Genomic DNA, 26040 nt, shown 5'->3' on the forward strand with positions numbered 1-26040 from the left:
ATTTACATTTTGCAGACCAAGCAAGAAAAGGGAAGATATTACGTAGGAACTTACATAACAAGAGAGAAAAAATTGTCACAATGTTTTTATTGATATAATCCAAAATACGGTAATATTTGAGTACAATTATTTGCAACTCACATCTATTAATGAGAGAAAAGGAATTCTTTTGCGGGGGGGATATTTCTCTTAATTGGAGTTCAAAGGCGGTGTCTGCTATCATCACATAAAGTGCAAATGTTCATGTATGAAAACCATGCTTAGCTCTCTGGTACAAACACAGGGAGCTCTCGCGATCTGGCCCATAGGCTGTAGTTTGCAGACCCTTGCTATAGCTGAACACCAGTCGCCCACACTGGGTTTGCGGTGTTCCGGGGTGGGAAGTCGCTCCGGGCTGCGAAGCACCTCGAGGGATCCCCCCGGCCCGAACTCTCCCTCTGTGCCCAGCTAACCGCGGTTCATTGGCTCTCCCCGCGAGGCAGGTCTGGAAGATCAAGAATGAAGCTCGGAGCTCTCTCGCGGAGCAAGGACACCTTCGGGCTTCAGGACCACCCAGGGCGTCCAAAACTGCTGCCAGGGCTGTGCCCCCGCCCCCCGGCACTTTCCAGCTCCCCCTCCACGCCCGCTCTTCCTCCCTCTCTGCCCCCTCTAGCTCCTCCTCCGGCTCCTCCCCCTCCGCTCCTCCCCTTCCCTACATCTAGCCGCCGCGCTTTCCCGCTCCCGCAGCAGCAGCCTCCCGCGTCGCTGTCGCTGTTGCCTCCGCCACCTCCTCCGCCGCCGCGCGCCCCTCGGAGTTCCGCGCCCCACCATGCCCAACATCGTGCTGTTCAGCGGCAGCTCGCATCAGGACCTGTCCCAGCGCGTGGCCGACCGCCTGGGCCTGGAGCTGGGCAAGGTGGTCACGAAGAAGTTCAGCAACCAGGAGACCAGGTGGGGGCCGCGCCGGCGGCCGGGCTAGGGAGAGCGCTGGGCACGCGGCTGCGGGGCCGGGTTGGGGGCCGGCGCCTGCCCGGGCCACCTCCGCGGACGCCGCGCTCCCCCTTCCGGGGCGGGACGGTGGCAACGCGGCCTCCGCGCCCCCGCGCCCGCGCCTGCGAAGAAACCGAGGCGGGGCGCCGCGCGTCCCGATGCGCGCCTCGGCTGTGCCCCCGGTTGCAGGGCCTCCGGTCCTGGGACCGCGGCGACCCGGCGGTCCCGAGCCGCTCCCGGCCTCCCAGCGGTGCCGCCCGGCCTGGCGTCCCCAGCCCGGAAGGGAGACGTCTGGGCGGTCACAGACCGTCGGGGAGAGAGTGGGCGCAGCGGGCGGGAACCGCATCGGGTCAGCGCGCGGTGGAGAGACGTCCTGGGTTGGCTGGTCCCAGTTTCCGCGTCCCTACAAAGCTGAACCTCAGACCAGTGCGTGCGACTAAAGGTTTCCCCCCGTCCCCAACTCTGGTTGCACGCTGGGTTTACCTGGGGACGGTCCGAACGCTGCTTCCCCCGACCTGCCCCCAAGGGTTTGATCCAACGGGCGGAGGATCAGCGATTTTACAAGCTTCCCTGGCTTCTCCTGAGCAGCCAGGGCGCAGACCACTGCGTTATCCAGAGGGTGCAGTTGTGCCAAGGTTTGAAAGACTGTGAGAACCCCAGGACGCACGTGCTGGGCTCCCCTCTGCTCCCACTACTCTTGCTGCTTTAAAGATGATGGACTTTCAGCTTCCTTCTTGTTCTAGGACTCTGCTGTGTCCAGCAACAACGCCGTGATTCGACTGTAACTTTCACCCATTTCTCAAGTCCAGGAGAGCCTCAGGTGGTGGCCATCCTCGGAAGCTGACCTGGGGGGCTCCTTTGTCTATCTGCCTGAGTCCACACAGCTCCTTGACTCATTTCAAATTGGTCTCATTTTTCCCCCTTCTTCCTCCAATGTCTAGTACCGTTAACTGTCCACAGTTACTGATAATTTTTATATCTTTGGCAAAGGTTCAATTTTACCAACATTTTCTAGAAATGGTGTTGGAACAGTTGGACACCCATATGCCAAAAAATATGAACTTCCATCCATACTTTTCACCATTTGTAAAAATTAACTTTGAAGTGGATCATAGACCTAATTGTAAAATCTAGAACTATAAAATTTCTAGCAGAAAATCTTGACTTGGGGTTAGGCAAAAATTTCTTAAGGAGGAGTTATGTTAATACTGATGGGGAAGATGCTATATTTTGGCAAGTCAGCTTTTTAGGATATGTGAATCTTACGTGACTTCTTCCAGGTGGCAAATTCCAGTTATGGCTCCGATGATAATATAAGCGAAGAAACATTGTGAATGAGTGGCAGGTGGACTTTGGCTAAAGAATTCCACTCTGCAGTGTTTAATGCAGAAGTCTGAGAGGATGGTCTAGGGCTCTGGAGAAGGATAGAGCTAGGTTTGAGTGTTGCAGTATTTTGCCAGTCTTGTTCAAGTTTCAGTCGCTGTAAGAACACGAGAAGAAGAATAGTTTTTGTTCAGAAGGTGTCGTCATATAAGTAAAGGAGAAATTTGTTGATGAAGTAAATTTTGAAAGCAAATATGTTGCCCTTCCAGGTACTCAGTGCAGCATGATCTTTTGCTAAGGAGCATGGTTAATCTAGATCAGTTCACTGCTAAGTCAGTGTTGAGTTTCTCCTAAAAATACCACATGTGCCACTGGGCAAAACTCACTCAGACACTGAAGTATGATTGTTTATACATTTGGTTCAAATATAAAGCAGACTCACTTTTATTTTGTTTTTGGCATTTTATAACCATCACTTGATAATTAGAAATCGTGGGACCTCAAAAACCACTCAGCATGAAGTTTGGGAATTGCCTATATAGCTACATTTTATGTTTTTAATGTATAGAGTATAAAAGGTTCACTGCCTGACTTTTCTCTTTTCCATGAACTGTACAAGTACAGAGCTTAATTTTTATAAACAGCCCTCTCTGGACCAGTTACTGTGCTAGGAATCCAGCTTTTAGCTGTGTAATCGTAGAGAGGAAAAACTGAAGGGCAAAATGAAGACAAAATTGATTCAGTTCATGTAAGGGCCCCTTCTTGAATCTGTCACTGAACTAGGATCAGAAATCTGGTTTGCTGTCTCCTGGCCATCAATCCTCCCATTTTGCGTTTTTTATATGCTACTTTACTGAACATAGAGCCTTCCAATTTTACCTTCTTATCCCTAAATCATTTCAGATATGCAGGGAGAGGTCCGCTCCAGCTTCACTATAGACCATGGAAATTCCATGATGACATCTTAGGACAGCAGGTGTCTAGATGTCTCTGTTGTAACATTTTACTATGGTCAGTTAACCTGCTGGCAGAATCTTTAGCTATACTGTGAGACAAGGTTATGCAAAGTTATACAAGGTTATCGGTTACCATGTAATAAATAAAGAGCTTAATGGCTTAAAACAGTAATTGTTGATTTGGCTTACAAATCTGCAATTTGGGAAGGGCTCAGTGAAGAAAGCTTGTTTTTGCCGCGTATGGTCACAGCTGAGGCTGGTCACAGCTGAGGCGGCTAACTGGGGCTGGAGGGTTCTTGAAGATGGCTCACATGACTGAAGTTGTTACTAGCTTTTGCCTGGGAGCTTGGTTAGGAACCTCAGCTCCTCTTCTTGTAGGCCTCTCCATGGGGCTGCTTGAGCTTCCTTACAGCATGGAAGCTGGGTTCTAAGAGCACATGTTCCAAAAGACAGGACATTGAAGCCACCAGTCCATTAAGGACTGGGCTTGCAAGTTGGTGTATCATAATTTCTGTCATATGCTGTTGGGCAAGTACAGAGCCCTCTCAGATTCAAGGGCGGGAGACTAGACCCTGCTCCTTGATGGGAAATGTGTTAAGAGTCTGTGGCTATCTTTTAGTTACCATGCCCGTTTATTGTTGAGTCAGTGACGCTCTTCAGCGTTTTTATTTGGGGGTCAATAAAGATCCTCTGGCAGAATGGCAAATGGATGCTGCCTTCTAGCCACAATTTTTTAAAGACCTAGAATAAAGGTAGTCATGATCATCTTTTTGAGTAGAAGCAGGACTAGCTTTAGGGGAAAAGTTGCCATGGTGATGATATTCTCTGTCCTCCCCTGGACTGCTAGTCATATGAGAACTGAGGTTCCTGAGTAAAAACAGGCCAAAGAATCTAATCTTGTGGGATAAACGTCATAAGACCAGGAGTTGGCAAAGTTTTTCTGCAAAGGGCCAAATCGTAAATATTTTAGGCAGTGCTAGCACATGTAGTCTCTGTTGCTGCGGTATCTTACAGTTCTGTAAGTTACGGTAATGTCTGTCACAGGTTAGCAGGGCTGTATTCTCTTCTGAGGCTCTAGGGGAGAATCTGTTCCCGTGCCTTTTCCGGTTTCCAGAGGCAGCCCACATTCCTTCACTATTGGCCTCTTCACCTTCAATGTCAGCAACAAAATGTTGCTCTGACCCTGCTTCTGCTGTCTCCCTCTTGCATTTTTAAGGGCCCCATGATTACAATGGGCCAATTTAAATAATCCAGGATAATTTCCCCATGTTAAGGTCAGCTGATGAGCAACCTGAATGCTATCTGCAAATTTACTTCCCCTTTGCCATATAAACTCACATATTCAAAGGATTAGGATGTAGACATCTTTAGGGGGCCATTATTCTGCCTACCACGCCATTCTTAACTCACAGGCCATAGAAAAACAGCCTATGTGCTGTGTTTTGTCAACCTCTCAGCTATATAATACTGTACTTGATTTCTGCTGTAGTTCATTTTGTGCTGCTATAACAGAATACCAGAGACTGGCTAATTTATAAACAATAGAAATTTGTTTCTCACAGGTCTGGAGGCTGGGAAGTCCAATACTGAGGGGCTGGCATCTGGCAAGGGCTTTCTTGCTGCATCATCCCATGGCAGAAGGGTGGAAGGGCAAGAGAGCATATTTGAGAGAGAGCAATAGAGGGCCAAATTTGCTAATATAATAAACCCATTCTCAAGATAATGAGCACACTCTAGCAATGATGACGTTAATCCGTTTGTGAGGACAGAGCCCTTATGACCTAATCACCTCTTAAAGGTCTCACCTGTCAATACTCCTATACTGGGGATTAAGCTTTCAACACATGAACTTTAGGGAACACATTTAAACCATAGCAATTTCCAAATTAAGTTTATGTCATAGTTGATGTAGTGTTCACAAAGCAGTTAGATTTAGCTCCTTAGATCTTCAAATAGGAGGGAGCACATAGAACTCTTTCTATCCCCCTCATCCTGTGAGGTTGGCATATTTTCATCCATAGTAGAAGGCGTGCAAGAAGATGTGTGAATGTTATCAAAACTAATTTTCACAACATGTCAACTTGAAAAACTTTATTTTTATTTTCCTTTTCTTTAAAATTTTTTTTAGAGACGGGGTCTTGCTATGTTGCCCAGGCTGGACTAGAACTCCTGGGCTCAAACAATCCCCTTGCCTCAGTCTCCCAAGTAGCTGGGACTGTGGGCATGAGCCACCATGCCCAGCCTGTTTTTAAATTTTCATTAGGTATAATTGGCTCTTTTTTTTTTTTTTTTTTTTTTTTGAGACAGAGTTTCACTTTTGTTGCCCAGGCTGGAGTGCAATGGTGCGATCCCAGCTCACTGCAAGCTCCGCCTCCCGGGTTCAAGTGATTCTCCTGCCTCAGCCTCCCGAGTAGCTGGGATTACAGGCATGCACCACCACACCTGGCTAATTTTGTATTTTTTAGTAGAGATGGGGTTTCTCCATGTTAGGCTGGTCTAGAACTCCAGACCTCAGGTGATCAGCCCACCTTGGCCTCTCAAAGTGCTGGGATTACAGGCGTGAGCCACCGCGCCCAGCCTTAATTGGCTCTTTTAAGAAAACAATTTCATTGAGTATCTGATAGCAGGAGAAGAGAGAAGGATAATTATTCATGTTCCTTATTTGTAATTTTAAAATATTTCATTTTGGGATGAATAAATTTACAGACAATTCTGCCATAATGTGACATATGTATTCCTAAAAATTACCACGCTATGCAAAATCAGGCAATCCAAAACCACAGGGCTTATGAGAAAAATGGGGTTAGGGACATAACATTCAAAAACTTCCTCAGTGACCCATTAAAAAATCATAGGAATGTTATATAGATTGAGCATCCCTTATCAGAAATGCCTGGGACAACAAGTATTTCAGATTTTTTTTTTTTTTTTTTTTTTTTTTGCATTTTGGAATATTTCTATTGTACTTACTGGTTGGACATTCCAAATCTCCAAAAATCCAAAATCCACAATGCTCCAATGACCATTTCCTTTGAGCATGATGTCGACACTCAGAAAGTTTCGGATTTCAGAATTTCGGATTAGGGTTCCTATCAAAATGGTAAAACACTGACATGTATTACATGCTCAAAAAATACTGGCTGGGTGCAATGGCTCACGTCTGTAATCCCAGCACTTTGGGAGGCTGAGGTGGGCGGATCACTTGAGGTCAGGAGTTCAAAACCAGCCTGGCCAACATGGCAAAACCTCCCTCCACTAAAAATACAACAAATTAGCCAGGCGTGGTGGTGCATGCCTGTAATCCGAGCTACTCGGGAGGCTGAGGCAGGATAATCACTTGAACCTGGGTGGCAGAGGTCGGAGTGAGCTGAGATGTCACCACTGCCCTCCAGCCTGGGCAACAGAGTGAGACTCTGTCTTTAAAAAAAAAAAAAAAATTACATAAATATTATGACAGAGATGGAACTTTCCATTGAAAAATGCCTGAGGTTTAGGGTTCTCTGAAATGACATGAAAAGTTGTGACACCAAATGTGAATGAGTGTGGCTCATTGTCCTCGAGGTGTGTACATGTGTATGTTTGTGTATTTCTAAGTGGCTCCATTCAGCTGGGTACACTGCAGTTTTCTGCAGTCTCGGGATAAGAGGTTGTGCATAAGAAAACATGAAATTCATGCTATGCTCAAATTGTTCCAAATAATATCAATCATTGGAACAAATTTGCCTTTTCAAAACATAGCAGAGCTGACCATCTTCTTGGTTTGGACGCAGAGCTCTGGGAAGGACATGCCTGAGCACACAGCACTATTTTCTGTTTCTTCCCACCAAAGGAATATGCCAGGGATGAGCTGGCTCTCCCTCTCATGTTGGACATCCAGAATTCTGTACCTGGAAATACAGAAACTTCCAGACATGCAATTTTCAAAAACTTAGCTGCTATTTACTCTTTCTCCAGAAGCTACGCAAGGATGCCAACCAGCAAAACAAGGAAGTATACCAAGAAAGAGGATACAGAAAATGGCAAATGGAGTGCAGGAGAGGGGGCAGGGAATCCCCGGATGGCAGCTGTGCACAGGCAGAGAGATAACCCAGGCCTGCCACCCCTGGGAGGGATGCCTGCAAGACGATGAAATGCAGATGGGACTTGAGGCCTCTGATCTTGGGAGATTTTGATTGTTAGTGAAGGGTTTAGGGTGGAATCTGGATTCAGGATTCAGAAAACTTAGCAGATAAAAAGGTAAGAGAATGACCTCCAGGGAAAATAAAAAGAAAAGATGTGCATAAAAAGAAAATACAAGCATTCGTTTAAGTTAATTGCATGGCAGAGCTCTGAGCAGCATTTGCGCAGTTAAAAACGTACAGTCAATCTTTAATGTGAATATTGATCTATATTGGGATGATGGCGAGATGGGAAGTTTACATTGCAAGTGATGGAACTGAATGGAAATGGAGTTCAGTCCTCATCTTCCATAGTGAGAAGTCAATACACTTTGCCTAAAATGAAAAATCAAGACACAGCAATACACACATAGTAGCTAGACTTGAAGGAAAGTATCCAAAAACCCTATCAAGAGTTGAAATTGGTGGCCTCTGGGCACTTTCTCTGTTATACGTCTTACAGAATGGTTTGAATTTTTTAAGCAATATGACTGTATAACTTTAATAAAAAACTAAAACTAAATGTAGTATTTTGCAGAAAAGAGTTAACATTAGCAGGCCTGAGACTTAGGCCTGTTCGCAAGGTTGGCCCTTGGCTGGCCTCTGGGAGCTTACATTTTGCAAGGGTACCCACCATTTCCCAGTAAGGATGGCTCACTGCATAAACTCTTAAACAATTGATAAACAATGTGGTTCATGCTGAATGCCTGTGAGTCTGACATTTTGGTACGTGCTAGGCAGAGGGTGCTTATATGACCAGCCCACAATACAAACCCTGGGACTTGAGTCTCTAAGCAGCTTCCCTGGTAGAGAGCCCTTCACACGTGTTGTCACAGCTCACTACTGGGGCATTAAGCTCTACCTCTGACTCCCCTCAGGGAGGAGTCTTGGAAGCTTGCACCCTGTTTCCCCCAACTTCACCCCATGCACCTTTTTCCCTTTGCTGAGTTTGCTCTGTGTCCTTTCTCTGCAATAAATTACAGCCATGAGTGCAACTATTAGGCTGAGTCCTATAAGTCATCCTGGTGATCATCAAACCTAGGGGTGGTCTCAGGGACGCCCAAGATGCAAATATGCTTCGATATTAACCGATGGCAGTTTTCTTTTCCTAGCGTGGAGATTGGTGAAAGCGTGAGAGGGGAAGATGTCTACATCATCCAGAGCGGCTGCGGGGAAATTAACGACAACCTGATGGAACTCCTCATCATGATCAATGCCTGCAAGATTGCGTCATCATCCAGAGTAACTGCCGTGATCCCGTGTTTCCCATACGCCCGACAAGATAAAAAGGACAAGGTAGGAGAGGTGTGTGCCCTAGAAACCTGCTGTGGGCCACTGTCAATGTTGTTTTTCCTCATTTATCCCCTTGATTAGAATTATCTGGAAAATGTTGGCTTTTTCCTTTGATGATCAAGTAAATATGCTTTCTTATTTTGTTTGTTGAAGATTTGGCTTTGAACCTACCCTGACATTAATATTCAAAGAAACAGGTAATGCATATTTTTGCAGGTATTAAAATACCATTATTGTCCTTGTTATAATGAAATTATTGTATGTCTTTGTGGTGGTGGATAGAACTAAATACACACACATACATGCACAAGAGTACAAGTCAAACTAGAGCACATCTGAATCAGATCACTGGATTGTATCAATTTCAGGGTCCTGGCTGTGATACTGTGTTATAGTTTCACAAGACGTTACCACAGGGAACTAGGTAAAAGGTTCACAGGATCTCTGCGTTGTTTCATACAACTGCATGTCTATCTACAATTCCCCCGAAATAAAAAGTTTAATTAAAAAAAAAACCCATGATCTCTTTTTAACCTTTTAAAAAGAACAGAAATAGTATCATTGAATTATGTTTTTCACAACATTAGCATCAGAGGAGGCTCTGTGAGTCTTTAGAAAAAAATTGAAGAAAATGTGGTTGGTCTTTGCCTTTCAGAGCAACAGAGAAATCGGAGGTTGAGAAGAACTTTGAAGGAGATTGTATTAGTTTTCTAAGCTGTCATAAGAAATTACATAAACCGCGTGGCTTAAAAGAGCAGAAATTTTTCCCTCACAGTTTCGGAGGCCCAGAAGTGTGAAATCAAGGAATGGGCAGGGGCACGCTCCCTCTGAAGGCTGTAAGGGAGGCTGCTTCCTCGCTTCTTCCAACTTCTGGTGTCTCCTTGCATTCCTTGGCTGTGGCTACATCACTCTGGTCCCTGCCTCTCTCTTCACCTGGCCTCTTCCCTGTGTCTCTTCTCTGTTTCTTATAAGGACACTGTCATTGGATTTCAGGCCTAACCTAATCCAGAATGAACTCAACTTAATCTTTACCTTGGTTATATTTGCAAAGACCCTATTTCCAAAATGAGGTCACATGCTGAAGTTGTGGGTGGACATGAGTTTTGGGGGGATATTGTTTGACCTACTACAGTGGTCAACTCCCAGCTGTTGTGTGTTCCGTATCTTATGGATAGATAGATGTTCAGCCAGGCTCAGCGAGAATCCTGCCAGTTTTCAAGACACACTGCTGTTCTGTGATTTGGTAACTCAGTGCAAGAAAGGTTTTCCCCAATATGCTGCTTTTTATCTCCATAATTCATTTCTGAAACAACACAGATTTCTGAAGCAGCACACAAGATCCCCTCATATTTGAAAAAAACCCTTTATAAATTTGAATTCATATACCAAAGTCCCCCTGAATTTTAATCCCAGTCTCCTCAAGACATGGTTTCCATTCCCTGTCTTGAAGATGGCCAGTCAGTTAATTTCTCACCTAAAATCTAATTAGAAGGGTCCACATACTTTATCTGTAAATGGCTATATGGTCTGTGTTGCAACTATTCAACTCTGGTTGTACTTCAAAAAGAGCAATAGACAATATGTAAATGAATGGGTATGGCTGTGTTCCAATAAAACTTTATTTATGGACACTGAAATGTGAATTTCATATTATTTTCACATGCCTTGAAATACTATTTTGAATTTTTTTCAACCATTTAAACATGTGAAAGCCATTATTAGCTCACAAGCAGTACCAAAACAAGTGGCTGGTGGCTGGTGGCTAGCTGGATTTGGCCTATAGGCTACAGTTTGCCAACCCCTGTATTAGACCATTGATAGATTGCGTGCGCACGTGTGTGTGTGTGTGTGTGTGTGTGTGTGTGTATGTGTGTGTGTGTTTATGATCTAAACTTGACCTTGGGCAGCCAAAACCTTAGGTCACATACACTGCTGTGAAGCTGTATCCTCCCACTAGCTATTTATACAGACAGCTCCTTTTATTTTAAACTTGATTTAAACTGTATTTTTAGCTGTTAAATTTCAATTTTCTAATTTTGTCCCATTGGTATAATCTGTTGTCTTAGCTATTCTTCCCATCTGTGTGTTTCCACAGGATTGTTTAGCATCTTTCTCCTTGTCATATCACATCCATGTCATAGAAGAGCTAATTTTCTGCCATTATTTCTTCCTTCCTTGTGGTTTAGTAAATTCTCACATTGTAGCTGGTTTTTTGTTGTTTGTTTGTTTGTTTGTTTTTGAGACGGAGTCTCACTCTGTCACCCAGGCTGAAGTGCAGTGGCACGATCTCAGCTCACTGCAACCTCCGCCTCCCAGGCTCAAGCAATCCTCCTACCTCAGCCTCCCGAGTAGCTGGGACTACAGGTGTGCACCACCACGCCTGGCTAATTTTTGTATTTTTGGTAGAGACGAGGTTTCACCATGCTGGCCAGGCTGGTCTCGAACTCCTGACCTCAAGTGATCTGCCCGCCTTGGCCTCCCAAAGTGCTGGGATTACAGGCATGAGCTACCGCACCTGGCCTGTAGCTGTATTTTTAATCAAGCTCTTTCACTCACAATAGATTTTATATTTTGTATTTGGCCCTAAGATATTGAATATATTGTAACTTCTTTAGAAAATTACTCCTTTTATCATTGCACATGCCCTCCTCCACTATTACCCGATTTGTAACCCCATTTTGTTCATTAAGTGATAAAATATCAGAAGCTCTACATTTTTGTTAGCACATATCTGATTTGCGGTGACCTCTTTTTACAAAGTTGTATTTTCAAAATGTTTTCTTATTTGAGTTGGAGAAACTAGCACTGTTTTTTCCCAATCCTTCTATTGTAGGAGGTGTGATGCAGTCCAGCCTCCATCCCCTAGTTGCCAGTAGTGCTCCCAGCCACCACTAACAAGAGCCCTATGGATTTCTGGAACTCCAGTGGCTATAACTTGTGTTTTGTTTTGTTTTGTTTTGTTTTGTTTTGTTTGAGATGGAGTTTCGCTCTTGTTGCCCAAGCTGGAGTGCAGTGGTGCCGTCTCAGCTCACTGCAACCTCTGCCTCCCAGGTTTAAGGATTCTCCTGCCTCAGCCTCTCAAGTAGCTGGGAAGCATGCGCCACGACGCCTGGCTAATTTTTTGTATTTTTAGTAGAGACAGGGTTTCACCGTGTGGGCCAGGCTGGTCTCGAACTCCTGGCCTCAAGTGATCTGCCCGCCTCAGCCTCCCAAAGTACTGGGATTACAGGCATGAGCCATCGCGCCCAGCCGGCTTTAACTGTTTTGTGGAACTGTGTTGTCTAACTAGCTAGTAGCAGCTTTCCTGATGTTAGACAGATGTGTTTTCCATTTTGACCCATTGTGAAAACATATTTCTTTTCTTTCTTCTACCCTTTCTTTAATCACTTTGCTGTAAGTGTGTTTCTTGGTAATAACATTGTAGCTGCTTTTAATTTTTTATCCCAGTCAGACAATTCCATGACTTTCTGAGCTTAACTGCTGATAGAAGAGAGGTCTTTCATCATCAACCACGCAGAGGCAGGGCGGTTGGTAACATTTGAGAGACAGTGTGTGTAGTGGCTTAGGAAGTCATGTGGTTTCTCGTTAGAGAACACAGCTAGGAAAGAAGGAATCACGGTGGGGTGTATTCGTTTCCTAGCACTGTTATAACAAATTACCACAAACTGGGTGACTTAAAACAACAGAAATATGTTCTCTTAAGTGCTAGAGGCCAGAAGTCCAACATCAAGGTGTTGGCAGAGGAATATTCCTTTTGGAGGCTGCAGGGGAGGCTCCTCCTTCCTTGCCTCTTCTAGCTCCTGGTGACTGCCAGCCTTGAGGCCACATCACTCTAATCTCTGCTGGAATCTTCGCATGGCCTCCTCTTTGTCTCCATCAGATCTCTCGCTCACTCTCTCATTTTTAATTTTCTTTTTAGAGACAGGGTCTCGCTTCGTCACCCAGGCTGAAGTGCGGTGGCACAATCTTAGCTCACTGCAGCCTCAAACTTCTGGGCTCAAGTGATCCTCCCACCTCAGCCTCCCAGGTAGCTGGGACTACAGGTGCACACCACCACGCCTGGCTAATATTTTTTGCTTTTTGTAGAGGCAGTGTCTCACTATGTTGCCCAGGCTGGTCTTGAATAGGAATTCTCCTGGGCTCAAGAGATCCTCCTGCCTTGGCCTTCCAAAGTGTTAGGATTAAAAGCATTACCACCACACCTGGCATCTCTCTTTAAAGGATACATGAGGTAGCATCTAGTGTTCACCTGAATAATCCAGGATAATCTCCCCATCTCAGGATCCTCAATGTCATCACATCTGCAGAAACCTTTCCAAATAAGGTAACATTTACAGGTTCCAAGGATTGGGCTCTGATATTTTTGGGGCCACCATTCAGCTCACTTCAGGAGGCCTTAAAGGAAGTCACTGATGTGTTAAGAGACGAATATTTTAAGGACACTTTGAGCTTTGAGATAGTACATATCATTTATCATCTAGGCCAGGATGCTTTCAAGATTGAAAGGGAGCTCTATGGATAACTGTGTTGGGAAACAGGTGTCTGCCTAGACTGTCCTGGGCAAGTGACATAGGGCCACCCTCTCTATAGCCTCTGGAGGTGGCCAAGACACATAAGCTGTTCTGACACCATTATTTCTGACATGTCTGTGTAGTCAGTGTGACTCATTATAGTGAGGAGACAATTTTGTTCTTTCCCCAAACTTCTGAAAGGGGAATTCTTAATTCTTAATTTTATCTAGTATTTGAGGTGTGCCTTTGCTTTATTTTTTTAAGACAGAGTCTCGCTCTGTCACCCAGGCTGGAGTACAGTGGCACAATCTTGGCTCACTGCAACCTCTGCCTCCGGGGTTCAAGCAATTCTCCTGCCTCAGCCTCCCAAGTAGCTAGGATTATAGGTTTGCGCCACCACACCTGGCTAATTTTAGTATTTTTAGTAGAGACAGGGTTTTGCTATGTTGGCCAGGCTGGTCTCGAACTCCTGACTTCAAATGATCTGCTCACCTCGGCCTCCCAAAGTGCTGGGATTACAGGTGTGAACCACCGCGCCTGGCCCACCTTTGCATTTTTTAAATGGCTGATAATACTTTTCCTAACTATTCCTTCCTTACCTTGGATCACGTGGCTTGGCTTTGTACTGAGAAACTGTACTTTGGTGAGGGGAACTGGGATTTAGTAAGCACCTAAGAGAGATGGCCAGAGCCTGTCAGCATACTTCATCTCTTAGAATCTCTTAGACAAGTGCTACTGTTTACCAGTACAGGTGAATGATGAGGAGACCAAGCATGATTGGGGTGGGGGGTGAGGGTTAGGGGAAATGCACTTCTACCTTTTTGCTTCATTTAGGAAGGTATAAAGCCATGTGGCGTTAGATTGTGATGAGAAGCTGTGACCTACACTTGATCTCTCATCCCAGAAAGAAAATGCTCCTGCACAGCCGCAGGAGGAGCTCTGGGCAGCCCTCCAAGACTTTCTGTTGTGCTGTTTCCTTCCCTTAGGGCTGTATTACCTATGACATCTAATGACAATGAAATTCTGTGTAATTGCTCTTCTTGGAATGCCTTGCAAAGAAGCCCAGAAAAAAAAAATCTGGAAGCTTTTAACCAGATTCAAAGCTGGTTTTGTTTTTTTCTGTAAACCTTGCTGCTGCTTTTTAAGCAAGCCCTGCACATATGTAACATTTTATTTGGGGTTTTCTTTGTATGTACAAGACACCAGGGACAGATTCTGATGGTGAAGGAATGGTTTCATAAATTAGGACACATCCATACAATGTAATGTTAACATAGAAAAATAATGATGATGTAATATTAATTGTAAAAGACATGGTGCCAAGTGGTCTGAGCTCTGGCACTGAGAATCAAGTAGGCTCAGATTTGAATTCCAGCCCATTATTTACTCAGTTTATCCTTTGTAAAAGTTACTTAAACTGTCTGTATCTTTAGTTTCCTTATCTGTAAATTAAGTACGACACTAGCTACTATTTATGAAGTACCTACCATATTATGATACATGAGTGGGCAAACTTTTTCTGAAAAGAGCTGGATGTCAAACATTTTGGGCTTTGTGGGCCGTTGGGTATCTATTGCAGCAGCTCCACTCTGCCATTTTAGTGTGAAAGCAGCCATTAGTCAATGTGTACATGAAGGGGTGCGGCTGTGTTCCAGTAAAACTTTATGTGCACTGAAATATGAACCTCATATAATCTTCAGATGTCACAAAATATTGTTCTTCTTTTGATTGTTTTTCAACCGTTTAAAGACGTAAAAACCATTGTTAACTCACAGGTTATGCAAAAACAGGCTGTGGGCTAAGTTTGGCCCATGGATTCTAATTTGCCGGTCCCTGCTATAGAAGACACTCAATAACTGCTGGTTCCCTTCCCTGGTAAAAACAGTAGGTTGGGCCGGGCATGGTGGCTCACACATGTAATCCCAGCACTTTGGGAGGCCAAGGCGGGCGGATCACCTGAGGTCAGGAGTTCGAGAAGAGCCTGGCCAACATGGTGAAACCCCATCTCTACTAAAAATACAAAAATTAGCCAGGCCTGGTGGCGTGTGCCTGTAATCCCAGCTACTCAGGGGGCTGGGGCAGGAGAATTGCTTGAACCCAGGAGGCAGAGGTTGTAGTGCAGTGAGCTGAGATCTCACCACTGCACTCCAGCCTGGGTGACAGAGCGGGACTCCGTCTCAAAAGGAAAAAAAAAAAAAAAGGTAGATTGTGGGCAAGACTGGGAATAATTACTTCTGAGGCGGGTAAAGGACTTGTAGTTTGGGGATTTCTTTTTTCTTTTTTCAAAATCATTTTCAAGATCATGTTCTGTTTTCAATAAGATTTTCTTTTTTTCCTTTTTTGTAGCAGAGAAATTGAGAACAGTTTTTCCTGATGTGAATTTCTACAGTCTTGTAATTTTTTTAAAAGCCTGTCAATTTTACACTTTTCAAAAGGTGATATTTGATGCCTTGAATAACATCTGGAATAGCCTGGGACTCTGTCATGATTGGGCTGACTTGCAAAACATTTGACTTTTATGCGTTTTTCACTAAGGGAGCTGAATGTTTTATTTTTGGCTACTGTACCTTGACACTACCTTTGTTTCAGTGCTGTACTTACTTTTCTTTGTATAGGCTAGCAAGTCAGTTAACTAGTAAATCATTTTTCCTGCAAGATTCAGTTGGGTATGAGCCAAACTCTGAGACACAGAACAGAAACCAAATTTGTAAACAAGGTGTGAAGAAGAAAATCAGAAAGCGTGAATTTAGGAATTACCCTGTGGTTTGGATCCTAGAAGTTAAGAAACACTGGATGCCACTGAGGAGAGATGAGAAGGGAGGATTCTTTTTGCTGGCATCTTAGTCTGTGCTACTGTAACAAAATACCACACACTGGGTAATTTATAAAGAACAGAAATATTCTTTGGTGCTGGGCACGGTGGCTCACGCCTGTAATTCCAGCACTTTGGGAGGCTGAGGTGGGCGGATCACCTGAGGTCGGGAGTTCGAGACCAGTCTGACCAACATGGAGAAACCCCTTCTCTACTAAAAATACAAAATTAGCCGGTTGTGGTGGCGCATGCCTGTAATCCCAGCCACTCGGGAGGTGGAGGTTGCGGTGAGCCGAGATCACACCATTGCACTCCAGCCAGGGCAACAAGAGCGAAACTCCATCTCAAAAAAAAAGAAATATTCTTTGAACGTGTGTCCTGGGAGGGGGGAAAAAAAGGACAAAAATATATTTTCTCATAGTCCTGGAGACTGGAAGACCAAGACCAAGCACTAGCATTTGGTGTCTGGTACGGGCTGCGTCCTCCAGAGGGAAGAATGCTGTGTCCTTACATGATATAAGACAGAAGGGCAAGTTTGCAAAATGCTGCCTGAAGCCTCCTTTAGAAGGACCTTAATCCCGCTCTCAAGGGAGCAGCCCTCATGGCCTAATCACCTTTTAAAGGCCCCACTTCTTAATCCTATCACATTGGCAACACCTGAATTTTGGAGGTGACCTTTCAACCCGTAGTAACTGATTCGACAATTGTAGGAAAAGCACAAAATTGATTAGTATTGCAAATCAGGTTCTATTACAAAGCAGTTGTAGCAACTGATTTGCTCTTTTTATTATCCTGGAACTTTGTTACACTAAATAATTCTCACAATTAGTGAGGCTAATGAGTAAGCCTTGGACATTTAGTGTTAATAGAGATTCTGTTAGTAAATATTTATTGAAGAACTACTGAATGCAGAGTGTGGAGCTGTGTTCTGCTGCGAAAATTCGATTTTATCCCAAAGGCAACATGGAATATAGTACGGGGGAGTTAAATGATGAAAACATGAGTTATGATCTATAATTAGTGGAGAAGATTGAAAAAATAAAAAAACAAGAAAAATATATTTTCCTATAATCTCACATTCCAGAAACATCTGTTAACTTTTTAGAGTGTTTTCCTCTCATTCTTTTCTTTCTGTTTTGAACATACATGCATACCTTTTTTTTTTTTTTTTTTTTGAGATGGAGTCTCGCTCTGTCGCCCAGGCTGGAGTGCAGTAGTGCCATCTCGGCTCACTGCAACCTCTGTCTCCAGGGTTCAAGCAATTCTCCTGCCTCAGCCTCCTAAGTAGTTGGGACTACAGGCGCCCGCCACCACGCCTGGCTAATTTTTTGTGTTTTTAGTAGAGACAGCGTTTCACCATGTTAGCCAGGATGGTCTGGATCTTCTGATCTCGTGATCCGCCCACCTCGGCCTCCCAAAGTGCTGAGATTACAGGCGTGAGCCACCGCGCCCCATATATACCTATTTTTGATAAAATATATATTTCTTTTTAAAAAGTGGTATATTAGGGAAAACACAAATAATCTGTTAACATTTTCAATGTAATTCCTTCCTGCATGTGTTTTTACATGAATATACTGTGTGTGTGTGTGTGTGTGTGTGTGTAACAAGGATCATTTGTTACTATTTTGAATGAAATCTTTTTTTAAGCTTTTATTTTCTTTTTTGTGGCTGATATATAGAAATACTGTTGTTTACAACAAAATGCTGAACGCCACCTAGGTCTAATCATGTGTCTATATAATTTCTTGGATTTCTTTGATGTGGGCAGTTGTATTGTCCATAATTTATGATGTGGAAACCAAAGCTATAGAAAAGTTAGGTAATTTTACAAAGAACATAATATCAGTAAATGACACTAAGTATGAAATTAAATAGTAACTATTATCAATCCCCTTACAGTATTCATTCTTTGACCTTGTTTTTTTCCATTTGTAATAGTGTTAGCGTCCAACTGTCAGCTCATGTCCAAATGTCGGCTCATGAATTCCTCTTTAATAGCTGGACTTCTTTTAGCCTCTGGCTGTGTGAGGGTCTCTTGACCTCAGTGATCTCACATGTGCCACTCTGTCCTTCTAGAACACTATTCTCCTCGCCTTTGCTAAACTTGCCTTAAAAGTGATTTCCTCAGAGGGACCGCTAATAATGATCTTGTTTAAACTTTATGCCCTTCCTACTACTATCATCTCTCTCTCTCGGTACCTTTTATTTCTACACACTTACCATGATTTCAGTTACACAGATTGTGACATTACATGTACATATGTTTAACTGTTTGCTTCTTTCATATTTGTTCTCTATACCCAGCGTCAAGCACTTAGTTTTGCAGTAGTATATGTAAATAGTAAATATTTGCTGAATAAGATGGAATGAATATATCTTTTGCTGTCACAACATGTATAATTTTCTTTTTGATGCTTCGTTGATTGCATCTATGATTTATCCTTCTCATGTACGTCTTAGTGGGAGGAATCTAACAGTATCCATCTTTTCCTGTTATAAAATTAATGTTCTTACTTGTAGAGTCGTGCCCCAATTTCTGCAAAACTTGTGGCCAATATGCTGTCGGTGGCTGGGGCGGATCACATCATCACCATGGACCTGCATGCTTCTCAGATACAGGTATCCGTGTTTTCCTTCTGCAAATGGTTAAATCAAGTCTGTTAAATTAAATAATCTTAGGTAACATTACTTGTGTTTGAGTTTATATATGGCTACTCTCTTGGATTTTTGTCTTTACTAAACTTGAAAATATAATTTGATATTAGTACTTCCAGTCTCTATCACCACCTTGCCCCCCAGTCAATTTTGGAGGAGTGGGGATGGCTTTTTGGTAGTAAGCTCTATATAGTTCCATCTCAGCTTATGGAAAATAATTAGAACGGCAGTCATAATGTACACTTTTTAACTTCTTCATAACTTATTTTCTTTGTCTCTAAAACAGGCCAAATTATACTGTGCCACTTTGTGTTATATAATGAACGTGAAGTATTTGATTTATAATAACTACTTAAGAGACAACAAACCTTTTCCCTCACCGTCCTGCATAGCCATTCTATTCCTCAGAATATAGGCCATCATAAGACAATGGAATATGTCCCAAGAGACAGATTGGACTGAAATATGCCCCTATAACATATCTGTCTTTTGATTTAATTCTGTTTAAAATTAACAAAAGGGAGTCTGTTATAAAAGCTTCTTTTGAACAAAAAATGCAAATGTTATTTAATGAAAGCGATTATCGTTTAAAAAAACAAAAGAAAACAAAACAAAACAAAACCCTGCAACATGACACTCACTTCTCCCTTTAGGGATTCTTTGATATTCCTGTGGATAATTTGTATGCGGAGCCCGCAGTCCTGCAGTGGATTCGGGAAAACATTGCCGAGTGGAAGAACTGTATCATTGTTTCACCTGACGCAGGGGGAGCCAAAAGGTATCATGCAGGCTACACCTTGCAGATTTCTCCATCTGCTGATTGGTTTTTCCTTTTCCGATGTATTAGATAAGGAAGCATGCTGTAAATTACTTAAAGCTTTATTTTGCTAATGAGCAAGTAAGTAGACCGCAGGCTTCACTTCCAGAGCAGAAACCCATCATCTTTGTTAATATTTCGTCATTCAGGAAAGAAGAAAATACAGAGACACACATACACAATAGGTATATATTGGTTTATTTGTTTTCAGCAAAGGGTAGATGTGTTTGAGGTTTTTTTAAGTTATCGTTTTCTGATTATAAAAGTAATGAGCCTAATTGGAAAATAAGTCTTTTAATTAACAGCACTTGGAAATGGTAGCCAAAATAGAACAATTTTTTTTTAAAAGAAATCTCTGTACATAGAATACCAAGAAGGAAATATCTGAGACCAAGAAATAAAGCAGAGGCGGAAAGCCATGTCCAGGTGGCTTGGGGGATGGGCATCAGATCCAGCAAGAGCCTGGTGGCTTGGGTTTTAATACTCACCTGGAAACCCCCATAAAGAAGGGAGTTAAAGCCAGGCACGGTGATGTATGCCTGTAATCCTAGCACCTTGGGAAGCCGAGGCGGGAGAATCACTTGAGCCCAGGTGCTCCAGGCTGCAGAGAGCTATGATCACACCACTGCACTCCAGCCTGGGTAACAGAGTGAGACCCTGACTCTAAAAAAAAAAAAAAGAAGAAGAAGAAGAAGAGAAGAGGGCTGAAGGCCAGATTTCTAGCCAAAAGCCAGGGGGAAAGCCCATCTTTACCTCGGCCTTTGGTTTAGGGGAGGAAATAGTCACCTATGAGAAGTCAAACCACGAGCCTGTGCCACATTCAGATGTGGAGTGGAATGCACACGAAAATGTGCTCCAGGCTGCAGAGCCCCTGCAGAGGGAGAATTTCACAATCCTAGCTGCTCGGTGAGTGCTCCCTGCTCAACCTGACCCGATGCCTGATCCAAAGTTAGAAAACCAAGAGAACACAGTCCACGCAGGCCCAGCATGTGCAGACAACAGGGCAGCAGGCAGCCAATACTTGGGGATAAGATAATAATTACTGGACTATCAAATAAGTAAGTTTAAAAGGAAACTGAGGTGAAGGAGAGTTAACAACAACCTGGTCGTAACAGTACGGCAGTGATGAGGCACCCAGTGGTGTGAGAACGTGGTACTAAGTAGCACCTCTGAAGGGCTTCACAGAGATACTCGAGGCGTTAACAAGCAATCAGGGTACAGGGTGTTCAGAATCAAGGATGAGCACAATAAGAGAATGCTGCAAGCTGAGGCTTGGTGACCCAATGACCTTGTAGAGCTTTGCAGATGCTATCTGGGAAGAAAAAAAGCTGGGAAGGGAGTTTTATTGTGTAGGTAGAGACCTCCATAAGGGAGAAGTAGGAGAGACTTCTACCCCCCAGTCCAGTGAGGAAGCAAGGAAGCTCTAAATGTGCACTAATAGAGGAGTGATGAGAGTGACAAGTGATCAGCCTTTGGAATGTCTGACATCAAAAGCCTGTCCCTCATTTGGCACCCTCATCTGCCTGCAGCCCAGCTGAGGACCTAGGATCTAACACAAAAGCTTAGAAGTAGCCCAGAAAGTTGTCTTAACACTCTTGCAGGGAAACACAGGCCCTGATTCTTAGAAGAGCCTTGTTCATTCTGCTCAAAGCTGCCTTCCAACGGCTGCTGGGGTTCCCAGCACAGAAGAGAAGGAACGGACCATGCAGCTGGAGATCGGCCTCTGCCAGCAGCAGGAAGTGGCTGTGGCCAGGGAGGAGACACAAATATATAAAAGACGGGAGCAGAAAGTTAACTTGCAAAGACCCTAGGTGGGCAGTCACGGGGTGGAGGGCAGCGCTGTGTCACGTAGCCTATTACTGTACGGTGTGTAATGTTCACAAAAATGCCCTTGGCCAAGAATCAAGGTTGAATGACGCTGAGAGTCCTCTGCAAAAGATTGTGAGCAACATTTTGGAGTCATATCTACTAGAAATGCTTGCAGTTGACTTGGAAACTTCTGCAAGTCACATGGAATCTGCATTCAAATGAGGCAAATGCACTGGCCCAGTGGAAGGTTAGAGGCAAAGAATCCAGCCAAAGGGGTACAGGAGCGAGCGTCAGATGTAACTGGGTTATAATAACAGCTTTGTTACAATGTAATTCAAATACGTACAATTGGCCGGGTGTGGTGACTCACACTTGTAACCCCAGCACTTTGGGAGGCCAAGGCAGGTGGATCGCTTGAGGTCAGGAGTTCGAGACCAACCTGGCCAACAGGGTGAAACCCCGTCTCTGCTGAAAATACAAAAATTAGCTGGGCTTGGTGGTGCACGCCTGTAATTCCAGCTATTCAGGAAGCTGAGGCAGGAGAATCACTTGAACCTGGGAGGTGGAGGTTGCAGTGAGCCGAGATCACGCCACTGCACTCCAGCGTGGGTGACAGGGCGAGAGTCCGTCTCAAAAAAGAAAAAGAAAATACCAAAAAACTCCAAATACGTACAGTTTACCCATTTAAAGTGTACAGTTCAGCAGTGTTTTGCATATTCAGAGATTTGTGCAACCATCACTATCTAATTCCAGAGCATTTTTATCACCCCAAAAAGAAACCCTGTACCCATTAGCAGTCACTCCCCATTTACTTCCCCCCACCTTATCCCTGGCAGCCAGGAATCTACTTTCTATCTTTATGGGGTTATCTTTTGGAGACTTTGTATATCAATTGGTAGTATAGAACATGGCCTTTGTGTCTGGCAGATACCTTTGTAAACCAGAAAATGTTATTTTGGCAGCTACTCAGCCCAAAGAATAGTAGATTCCACAAATTTGTATGACCATCTTTCTTTCCTCCCCCAACCTTGTTTTTATATACATAGTCTAAGAATATCATACATGCTCTTAGCAGAAATTCAGACAGTACAAAAGTGTCCCATCCCTGTTCTTTAAATGCCACCGTTATTTCCAGTGTCAGAATTGTGTTATTTAAGCGTATATCTGCCTATTTATTTCACGCAAATGGCAATGCGATGTACACAGTTCTTCACTGTGCTTTTCTGAAAAACTCACTTGCTGTATCTTAACAATGATTCCATAGTCGTGTTGTGCAGCTGTGCAATATTCCCTTGTGTGCATGTACCACAGCTCCTGTGACCAGTCAGGCCCCCTCTTCCCCATTTGTAGGTGCCGTTGTTTGCACTCTTAAATGCAGTTGTGAAGCAATATCGTTGCTTTGACATTTTGTACACGTGTGCTAGTAGGATACGTTCCTAGAAGTGGAATTGCCGAGTCAAAAGGCATGAGCCATTTTAGGTTTGATGGGCAGTGCCAAAATATGGTCTTTTCCAAAAAATATACCAGTTGACATTCCATCATGTATGGATGCCAGTGACTTTCTACACAGCCTTGCTCACACAGTGGGTTATCAGGCAGTTTACTTCCAGATCAGGTAGGTGATCTATGGCATCCTCTTCCTGTGAGCTCTGGTTGCTGTGGGTGAGGGTAGTGCCCTCACCAGGGTATGTTGATTTTCCATGAGATGGGTCTCTATTCAAATCTTTTGCCTATTGTTCTCTTGGCTGGGACGTTTCTTGTGGATTGTCTACAGTTTTGCATAGACGAGATCACAGCTGTTTCTCATGTGTGTTGCAAATATTTCTCCAAGTTTTTTCATTTCTTCTCCTATTTTGTATTTTTATTCTCTGCAGGACTTTAAAAACCTTCTTACGTAGTCAGGTTTATTTTTTCTTCACATTATGGCTTCTGAGTTTATGTAGGAGTCATCCTTCTCTTAAAATTTGTCTTCTCCCATGATTCTGTATATTTTTTTCTTTTTTAATGTCCCAAGTTTACTTCCATCTGAAATTTATTTTGGAATAAAGAATGAAATAAGAATCCAGCCCCCCCACCCCCGACTCTACTGTCTAGTTTTTCCAAAACTATTTATTAAATAATCCACCTCTATTGATTTGAAATGGCATCTTTCATCATATACAGAGTTCCCCATTTCAAATAGATAGCTATTTGCCAACTCCTACTTTTAAAAAAATGCAGAATAAAGTAAACAGAATAAATGGCTGGGGTTGAGATGCTGTTTTGTTTTGTTGAGACCTCCTTTCAAGCAGTCTGCACTCAATCACCCCTGCTCCCTCTGCCAGGAAAATCAAGCTTTTTAGGGAAGTACATTTCAGAATTTTTGTCACCTCCTTTCTCTTTTCCAAGTGTTTCTGCTACACATTATTGTCATCCTCATATTCTAGCCCCCAACTGACAGTCTCCTCAGAACAGCCTTGCGGGTAATACATGACATATGCAGTTGACATTATCTGTGACTTCTTTGCTTGATGCAAAAGGTCATAGTTAGCAAAATAAAATACTGTAAATTTCTGTCTGACCAATTGGAGCTTGTTGCTTTAGAAAAAGCTTTGAAGCTTGACTCGTTCCGGGTAAAACTGAATGTTGCCACAGGAGGTCACTCTTGGGTAGGCTTTGTAGCTTGGTTGGGTTGACCACGGAAAGAAAATTAAACCTAAGAAACCTACCTACCACTGCTGAGATAGCAAGTGTCAACCTAAAAGTGGTATGGGAAGAGGGTAAAACTAGATAACTCAGATTTAACTTTTTTTCTGATTACATAATCTTTGAAGATGCTCTATAGGAAATTTGGAAAGTAGAAAGAAGAAAATCTTAACACTTTATATCTCAACCAGTGATGCCACTATGAATAATTTGGTGTACTATGTATCTGTCTCTCCTGGGGGAGCTGATATGGCACATGCACCCACAGAGAAAAGATTGTAAATATGTGCCCAGAAGAAATCCAAAACTGTATGTATATAATTTTCGTTCTGCCTTTTTCTGCCTAAGATTTCAGTGTGGTATGTTGTGTCAACATCATTTGTTAGGAGTATGTATTAGGTCTCCATGATATACAAGGAAAAGAAGAGTTACCTATAGCTTTTTCAGGAAATCATAGCGTTCTAACAACCCAGGAAGCTGTTTGCAGGGGTATTTTCTCTTATCTTCTTCTTCTGACATTACCATTGGATACCTTTTAGTGGCTAGGGCTCCCCACTCAAGTGAGATGTCTGTGTCCCCCACTGCCAAGAACCACAGAGCTCACCTTCTTTCCCAGTCCCACTTCCATGCCTACCCTGCTGTCTGCTTGTGAGCAGGCTCGTGAGAACAGGCGCCACCTGGCAGAGAGATGAAAACAGGTTCTGCTTTAACTTCTCCGGTATAGAACTTCCACCACAAAGGGCAGTGCTTCCCAGTGCTGGGCTGTGGATTGGTATCCTGTCATGCCCAAATCTGCCTAGTCGTTACCAAATAAGCAGACGGTAATGTATGTGGACATTTTGTGCGAGGTGTTCATGTGTCTTGGGAAAACCTGTCTCATGTTCCCAGAAAGTAGCTTTCCTTACCTGGAGTTTGAGTGGCTTTTATGACATTGGCATGTAGATAATAGAACTGTACGTGTTTTTTTGTTTGTTTGTTTTTTGAGATGGAGTCTCGCTCAGTCGCCCAGGCTGGAGTGCAATGGCGTGATCTTGGCTCACTGCAACCTCCACCTCCCGGGATCAAGCGATTCTCCCGCCTCAGCCTCCCAAGTAGCTGGGGTTACAGGCAGCCACCATCATGCCCGGCTACTTTTTGTATTTTTGTAGAGATGGAGTTTCACCATGTTGGCCAGGCTCATCTTGAACTCCTAACCTCAGGTGATCCACCCACCTCGGCCTCCCAAAGTGCTGGGATTACAGCTGTGAGCCACCGTGCCTGGCTGAACTGTAGGTGTTTTAAGGTGATGATGGAGCAAAATTTTTGTTGGCCTTTAAATTAATTTTTTTAATTAAATCTTTAAGTAAGGAAACTGTTGACAGCTAGACAAGTTTACAAACAAAGGGTATCTGCTAGGGCTACTGTGGTTTTGGTTGCATCCTGAAGAATGAGTGTTTTAAGGGTAGGATGAGTGTTCTAAGGGTAGGAGAAACATGGACCTCAATATAGTAATGATTCCCTTTGCTTCAAGGACGTTGATGTCTTATTCTCTTATCTCACAGTCTCTGTGTTTAACTGGAAAGTTTGGTCCCTTTTCTTTTATGATAATTGACATAGTTGGATTTATGACCACCACCTTACTATGTGGTTTTTTTGTTTTTGAGACAGAGTCTTGCTCTGTTGCCCAGGCTGGAGTGTAGTGGCGCGATCACAGCTCACTGCAGCCCCCGATCTCCCAGGCTCAAGTAATCCTGCCACCTTAGCCTCCCAAGTAGCTGGAACTAAAGGCGCATGCCACCATGCCTGGCTAATTTTTGTATTTTTTGTAGAGATGGGGTTTTACTATGTTGCCCAGGCTGGTCTCCAATTCCTGGGCTCAAGTGATCTGCCTGCCTCGGCCTCCCAAAATGCTGGGATTATAGGTGTGAGCCACCATGCTTAGCTACTATATGCTTTAGTTTTTCCTTCTCCACAAAGTAGACATTATTATTATTTTGGTTTTGTACAATCAACATTTGTTTAGATTTGTCCACATATTGATCAATATCTTTGCTTACCTTTCTCTGCCCCT

The 26040-nt window shown here is 43.5% G+C and overlaps 1 protein-coding gene across 2 annotated transcripts in view, besides 1 other annotated feature; it reads left to right on the plus strand.

The window, feature by feature from the left end:
- Window positions 723-26040, plus strand: part of PRPS2 (phosphoribosyl pyrophosphate synthetase 2) — a 32811-nt gene continuing 7493 nt past the window's right edge. Inside the window, exons 1-4 of one of the 2 annotated variants that reach the window (NM_001039091.3) lie at window positions 723-930; window positions 8518-8710; window positions 18545-18643; window positions 19333-19457. In NM_001039091.3, the coding sequence (NP_001034180.1) occupies window positions 809-930; window positions 8518-8710; window positions 18545-18643; window positions 19333-19457 (539 nt within the window). In that variant the 5' untranslated portion in view covers window positions 723-808. The remainder of the gene's footprint in view (window positions 931-8517; window positions 8711-18544; window positions 18644-19332; window positions 19458-26040) is intronic. The other variant, NM_002765.5, reaches the window with a different exon arrangement.
- Window positions 979-1428: a silencer, noted in NCBI's record as "silent region_20663". NCBI's record gives its function as "represses an Ori minimal core promoter by ATAC-STARR-seq in GM12878 lymphoblastoid cells {active_cell/tissue: GM12878}" and the evidence as "EXISTENCE:reporter gene assay evidence [ECO:0000049][PMID:35858748]".

This window comes from Homo sapiens, chromosome X (assembly GCF_000001405.40).
Source record: "Homo sapiens chromosome X, GRCh38.p14 Primary Assembly".
Classification (NCBI taxonomy): Eukaryota; Metazoa; Chordata; class Mammalia; order Primates; family Hominidae; genus Homo; species Homo sapiens.